We start from the raw sequence: 7,737 nt of genomic DNA on the forward strand, positions 1-7,737 counted from the left end.
ATTCCATTGTCTTCCAGATTGTTATTTTATTTTGGAAAAAAAAAGTATTTTAAATATAGTTATTTAATTTTTAAAGATAAACTCTTTTCTCTATTTTTAAAACTTACAAGTTTCATTTTGTTTTGTTTAGAGATTTTTAACTGTCGTTCTTTGAGTGAATTTCTTTTCTTTTTTTCATGCAGCTTGAAATTAATAGGGCATCTTGAATCAATGAACTGACATCATTTGTAAGTTTTGGGAAACCCTCAACATTTATTTCTTTAAACATGATTCTGCTTCATTTTGCTTTTGAGACATTTTCCCTCTCTTTTTCTTTGATTCCACTTAAGCATATGTTTGACCTATCACTATGCTGTCTATGAATTTAACCCCCTTATCTCTATTTCCTACCCTTTGTTTCTCTGTGTCTCATTGAGAATTTTTTTTGACCTATTGATCTTTTCATGAGCTTTTTCTTCAGTTTTATCTAATATGTTGCTAAAACCAGAGATTTTGAGTTCTAAGATATTTTTTTCAAATATGTAAATTTTTAATACAATTATCTGTCAATGCTTTTTAAATTTTGTCTTTTATTTCCTGGTACATAGTCATATGATTCTTTTATTATCTGCTTTTGATTATTTCAACATTTGAAGTCCCTATGGACACCATTCTATTGGGCCTTTTTCTTTTCTTTTCTTTCTTTTTTCTTGCTGGCTCTTTTTGAATTTATAACTTCTTGTTCTTGATTATCTTTGATTGTGAACTGAAATTTGTAGTTTGGAAAAGTATTTGTAGAAATTATTTTATGCCTACAGTGATGTTATCTTCCTCCAGAGAGAATGCATGTTTCTTTTAAATTGATATTTGTAAGCATTAGAAATTTTGAATAACAGTCAACCTCTTTTATGTATTTGGGATTTTTTATTCTTCCAAATAAGATGAAAATTCCTTAGAGATATTGTGAGAATTGTTTTTTTTCTGCTTTCTTCTTCCTTCTGTGGTATAATCTTTGTATCTCTGCTTGAAAAGGGTCCCCTAACTTGTGGGTTATGGACACTTTCTTTTGTCCTCATATTTCTGTGGGAGGCTACAAGCAGGACTTAGTCTTTTAGCTATTTCTTCCTGAATTGAAAAAATATCTGCACCATGTCCTAAGAGGTACTATAATCCTCTTTGAATTTACTTCTTTTCTTGGATCTCATTTGTTAATTGTTGACTTCTGAACATTTTAAGTAGAATAATTTTAATTTTATCCAAATTTTCCACTTGTCCTCAGTAAGAGGATTGGTCTTCCATTCTTAAAATAATGACAAACTATTTCAGAGAACCATTTGTCTCACTTCAGCTCATAATCATGTTGTGTTCTTAATAGACGAGAAAAAAAGCAGTGTTATATTACAAATAATTTTTAAAATTTTTTAGTGATTAAATGATTTTTTCGCAACTAGGATGTTCTAAGAAAGGAAACTATTTTATGCAGGATAAATCATTGAAAAGTTGTATGCCAAAGTATGACATGGCACACATTTGGTAGGCATAGGTATTACACAGACCTACCAGACAGCACATTTTAAGTTACTACTGAACAGTCATAATTGTTCATTTGGAATGGGAATTCCTACTCACAAACACAAGCAAGTTCTGACTGATTAACTTGATCTATTGTTGAAGAACTGCATAGTAATTTTTAGAGTACACACGAGCCTTTCAAATATGTATTATTTTATTGTCTGATTCTCATAAAGCTAATGATAGAATTAACTTTCTAAAGTGAAAGGAGTTTAAATAATCTTTTCATGGACATGTAGTTATTAAGAGATAGGGCTGGTTAAAGAATCTTGGACTTCTAACGTCTTTCTCCATGACCCATCTCTCTACTCTGTTGTTTCTCATTGAGAGGTCAATACTTCTGAGTATATTAAAACAGAATTTCAATATTTATCTTAGCAATATAAAATACTAAATGGCTACTAAAATGATCACAACTCTTTTTTAATCCAAAATCTGCTTTTTCTTCTAGTATTTGTTTTCTCTTCTGTGTTATGCAGATTATTCATTCATATAGCACCTATTTACATTTTAAAATACAAATGGTCATGTGGTATGGAATAAACTCTTTATGTGTATGCATGCTTTATTTCCTGTTTTGGCAACTGTGCCTTTCAGATTTCTCCCATATTGCCACATATACAATATAGCTTAATATTTGATGAGGATCTTTTGTAAAGACAAGACATGTGAGAGTAAATTACATTCATTTAGGCAAATGTACTCATTTCTCTCAATGCCCACTTTTAATTTTCTTCTAAAAGTATTATACTAGTAATTTTATGTTTTGTGTTATTGACTGAACATATTGAGCAACACATATACTGTATATTTATTTCATTTAGCTAATAAATATTGCATTTCTGCAAATGTTTTAGAAGAAATAAAAATGACCTTTCACATATTCCTTGTAAATAAAGAATAAGAAAGTAAATACTGAATTACACCGAGGGAGCAAGATAACAAAGCCCAGAAGTATATATCTACATATATTTATGTATATACACACATATACATATATATTTATAATATAACATATACATGTATGTATGTAGAATGTCTATGTCTGTACCCACATGTAAAAACAGGCATATATATAAAGAGAGGGAGTAAATGTTGACTTTCATTTTTAGAGTATTTGAACCAGTTCCTAGCATTTAAAGATAGCAAGATTTCATATAAAAATTTGTTTTAATTTTTCTAAAAAATCTGTAAGTTCCAGAAATCCTGTTCCTGAAATTAAACTTACAGCATTTCTGCATTCCTGCCTGGCAACCATTAAATAAATATGAGTATTAATTTGTTTCTACCTTTTGTTCAGTTGTCCTTTCTAGATGGCTCATGAACTCTCCAGTTGGTTACAATAAGATAATTCACTAACTTTCACCTTAATTTCCTGTCTCCTGTAAATATTTGATTTTTTCTATTGTTACACTACACTACATATCATTTTTAAAGCATTTCAGGGAAGATAATGTATTTCCTTGGCTATCATCTTCATAGTTGTAATGGAAGGAAACAAAACCAATTAATTAGGTAAGTGTCTTTAGACAAAAACTTTTCAATTTAGAAAAAAGTCAACAAAATTGATAATTGGTCTAACCTGCAGAACTGTTTGAACAGATAAGCTATTTTGCAAAGCAGTAAGCCTGGTGACTCAATACAGATGCAGCCTACATTTTTATAGATACAGCAGTTATTTCAGTTTTGTCAATTCTTGCATCTCGCCAAGAGTGATGATTTATGCTTAAAGTATACCATACATAGGAGCCCATTTTCTCAATTTTATGTTGGGTGACATCCTTGCCACGTATTCCATTTTCAATTTCTTAAGGAAGATAATGTCTGAGTTTTTGTTCATATGCATCACATATTTAAAAATCATCCATAGCCCTTAATTTATGTTTTAAAAGAAGGAAAGGATAATATGGTAATCACTATAAAATGTTGTGTTATAGAATGCATATTGGATTCAATTTAATTTTCTTATGTGATTAATTCTTATGATCCCCATTAGGAACCTGTGATTTGGTCATCAATGTCCATAGAAAATGCTCTTCAGTAGTGACTCTGGTAACTACATGTTTTTTAGATTGGTTCTTTCTTTCCCCCCAAGAAATTGTAATTTATTACACAGAAGATGAGTCTGTGATGATGGCTGAGTACAAGTCATGGCAAAATCCGATATGTGTTCTTCTTTATCACAGTTGACACAGTTTACATTCACCATGAAGACATTCATCCAGGAATCAGAGGCACATATTTGGCCCTTATGTATTGTTAAGTAAACATTGACAATTCCTTACAGCCTCTAGATAAAAAGGGAAAATCAGAGTCCAAATCTTAAATTTTCCCAACACTGCAGTTCTCCTTACATTACTGAAGACTTACCCCTAAGAATTATGATTTTAAAGAGGTGTTATTTTGCTTTTTTGTCTTAATCATATTTCAAATTATGTTTAATAGATAATAGTATGTGTTTTATTATATACACTGTTAAATAAGTTTATCTCAAAGTATTACACTATAATTTTACAAAATTTAGCATAGAGTACTTATTAACTGACATCTAAAATATAGGCTTTAATTTGTTTAATAGTTTTAATTTTTCTACAATCTTTTTAGTTACTGTAGGATAGAAAAACAATGAGAAAATGTAAGCTCTTTTGTGTCTTACAGCATAATATGGAAGGCTGAAATTTAAAGATACTTGTTAACATATAGCAAAATTTAGAAGCTTAACACTAAACCAATGAAGCGAACCCCAAACATACATTAGAATCTTATTTCATCCATCAATCCCTGTCAAGAGATTTTAGTTACCTTAGAAAAAGGTCTTTTGAATGCCCCACCTCCGCATATGTTATCTCTTAGGGTTCTTCTGTTTGAGTAACTGATTTTTGCTACACTATTCTTGCTAGTATTCCATAACCATTTTGCCAAAATCCCTTATGCCCCTCAGAGGTAATTGTACTTTTCTTTGTAGAAGTTAGATGTTTTTGGTTTTTCAAAAACAAGTTTTCATTTTCTGCTCCAGAAAGTCTGAGTTGGTTGAATATTTTCCTCTAGTTATTTTTATGAATTCCATAAACTATGTTATTTTGAAAAAGATGGACCTCACATCTTTTTATCTAGTATATATTTTAATCTTTATATTCTTAGATCAAAATATATTCCTTTGAGACGAGCTGCAGATGCCTTGTTCTCCAAAAGAATTCCCATGACTGTACTTACTAGAAAAATGAAGTGCCCCAATTATTATGAACAAGCTCTGGTTTCTTCTTCCTCCTCTTTTCTAGATATCTTCTGGAGTACAATGGAAAGGTCCTAGACAATAATATCTACAATGTAAAGTATAATATTTAAATTGTTCTCTAGTAGAAATATTAACAAAGTTATTTGAGAGTGTTTATTTCTGTTGGAGTAGAGAATCACTTCCATGATTCCATTTGGGGATGATAAATAATTTAGGAAGGCTTGTTAGATGTGCAGGTATTACATTTATACTTTAAAAGATAAAAAGGCTGTGAAAAGGCTGAGTGGGAGAGAATATATGTAATGTAACGTATAGAACACCAAAAAATATTCAGAAACTAGCCTTTCAGTTGGAAAGAAAGTGGAAATGTTTCCTGTTAGATCATTTTCATCCTGCCACTTATTTCGCGAACTTTTGATCTGAGATATTAAAGCGGTTCTCCTAACAGTTGTCTGTCTATTTGGAACATCAAATGGCTATTTTGTTGAGACTACAGTGTCACTAGTGTGTGTCTCTAAATGACAGTTCTGCATGTTAATGCTAACTGTGACTTGAATAGTAAGACTGACATTAGAGACTTTTTGAAATGAGAACAACATTCTTGATCAACCTACAGAGTGCAAAAATTGGGAAATCATCAAGTAACTTCATAAGGCTAGGTTGCATTGTAATTTCATTTTCATTAGTGATGAGATTGTTGTGGAATAATGAGTGACCTTCAGTTGTGGTAAGTTAGTCAGGTAAAAATTCCTACACCAGAGTTATAACACTCAGTCATTGGTGACTTACAATTTTCTTTTAACTCTTGAACTAAAACAAATGTTATTTTATTTATGTAGCTTTATTACTGCTGAAATACTATTTTATACATATAAAGATGATTAAAACTGATCGTATATTATTAGATGCAATCACCATGTTCTTCAATTTCACTTTAGTAATTATTGGGCACCTCCTATGTGCCAGATTTATATATGTCCTCTCATTCAGTGTTCGCAGCAGACCCATGAGATTGTGGCCGTTATCTACACTTTACAAATGAGAAGACTGAAATTAAGGGAAATCAAGTGGAGTAGATATGTATTAACTTATGTTTGTTTGCTTTTTCTGGATGCACCTCACCCCCTCCTGCATCACATGAAATTGTTAAATACTTGGCCTTCCTTTCTTCACCCCAAGGAGATGCAATATTAAGGTCTGTGTAACCTAAAAACAGTGATTGAAGTGATTGATCCACATATGAACTCATGATTGTAGCGAGGCCAATAAATGTTCTTTATCCAGGATTGGTATAAATACTGTGGAAAAGAGAATTCTTTTCTGTGATTCACAACCTTGCAAACCATAAACTCCTGGCACTCTTTGAGGGTCTATCTTTGCTCACATGTGGAGAGATCTTACCAAAGAAGAAAGTAAATAGAGAATATGACAGAACTGAAAGATGGGGAAAAAGAGGCTAATTCTGGGGCTATAGTTTGAATTTTTGTTTACCTAACCATAAAATCTGGTAGTGGGAAGACATACATGTATGCAAATGCAATAAATACTACATTAAAAATTTGGGTGGGCCATGCCTAAGAAAGAGCACTTATATTCACATTACTAAACTTTGCTACATTCCACAAGCAATATAATGTCTAAACCCCTGAACAATTTAGAATATATCCAAAGTAGTTATTGATGCATCAAAAATGGCATCAGTTAACACAAGAAAAGTGAATCATGAAACGTTATATTATTCCATTCTTACACTGCTATAAATAAATACCTGAGACTGGGTAATTTATAAAGAAAAGAGGCTTAAACAGTTCATGTCTCCACAGGCCGTACAGGAAGCATGGCTGGAAAGGCCTCAGGAAACTTAAAATAATGGCAGAAAGTGAAGGGGAGGCAGGCACATCTTCACATGGCCAGAGCAGGAGGAACAGCATGAGGGAGGAGGTGCCACACACTTTTAAACAACCAGATCTTATGAGAACTTTATCATGAGAATAACACCAAAGGGGAAAATCTACCCTCATGATCCAGCCACCTCCCACCAGGCCCCACCTCCAGTGAGGGAGATTGCAATTTGACATGAGATTTGGGTGGGGACACAGATCCAAACCATATCATATGTTGAGAAGAGAGGTCATCAAAGTTTTCATAAAATTTTGAAATGAAGGAGAAAATTCTGTTGGATAATTCTGGGTAGTTTTCAGAGGAGGAAACCCATGATTAATTCTTACTATATTTACTGAGTTTGCAGTGTGTGGAATATAAATGTCTTTCTCTGAATTTGTAAAGGCAAATAAAAATATTAGTACAGGGATGACCCCAGGATAAATTTTATGTTGGCCTCGATATGTTGTAGCCTTTTTTCCAACTGTTTCCTGCTATTCTCAATCATGTTTGAGTCTTTGAAGGGCATGTTGCATGGTTGACATACATGCTGTGAGCAGCAGTCCTGTAAGTAGTGACTATTACAAAACTCTGAAAGTGTTTCTTTCTAAAGATAGCAGGTTTTACTTCCTGGAAATAATTCACTTCAGAGCCAGATGATGCTGATGACCCTGAATCTCCCTTTTCTGAAAGAAGATAATAGCAACACTGTTTTGTTGTTGTTTTTTGTTTGTTTGTTTGTTGTGAAGGGAGGAAACTATTCTTAGAAAGTTCTTTTGGAAAATTTGTGAATAGGTGATGGCACTGGATACTGATGCTAGCTACAGTTTACTGAGTTTTTCCTAAGTGATAGCCACTGGGTTAGAAATATATTGTTGTTAATTTTTGTAGCCATCTTTCAAGGTTTAAATGATGAGTAGACTGAAGCTCAGAGAGATATTAAGTATAGAAACATATATAAAAACTGTTGAGCTGGTACAGGTGAGAATACTGAGTGCAAACATCACATACCCATAGGTCATCAGTTTTAGCTCTTCCCTTCCCTCATCCTTTCTTTCCCTCTTTCTCCT

This window comes from Homo sapiens, chromosome 4 (genome assembly GCF_000001405.40).
Source record: "Homo sapiens chromosome 4, GRCh38.p14 Primary Assembly".
In the NCBI taxonomy this organism is placed as follows: Eukaryota; Metazoa; Chordata; class Mammalia; order Primates; family Hominidae; genus Homo; species Homo sapiens.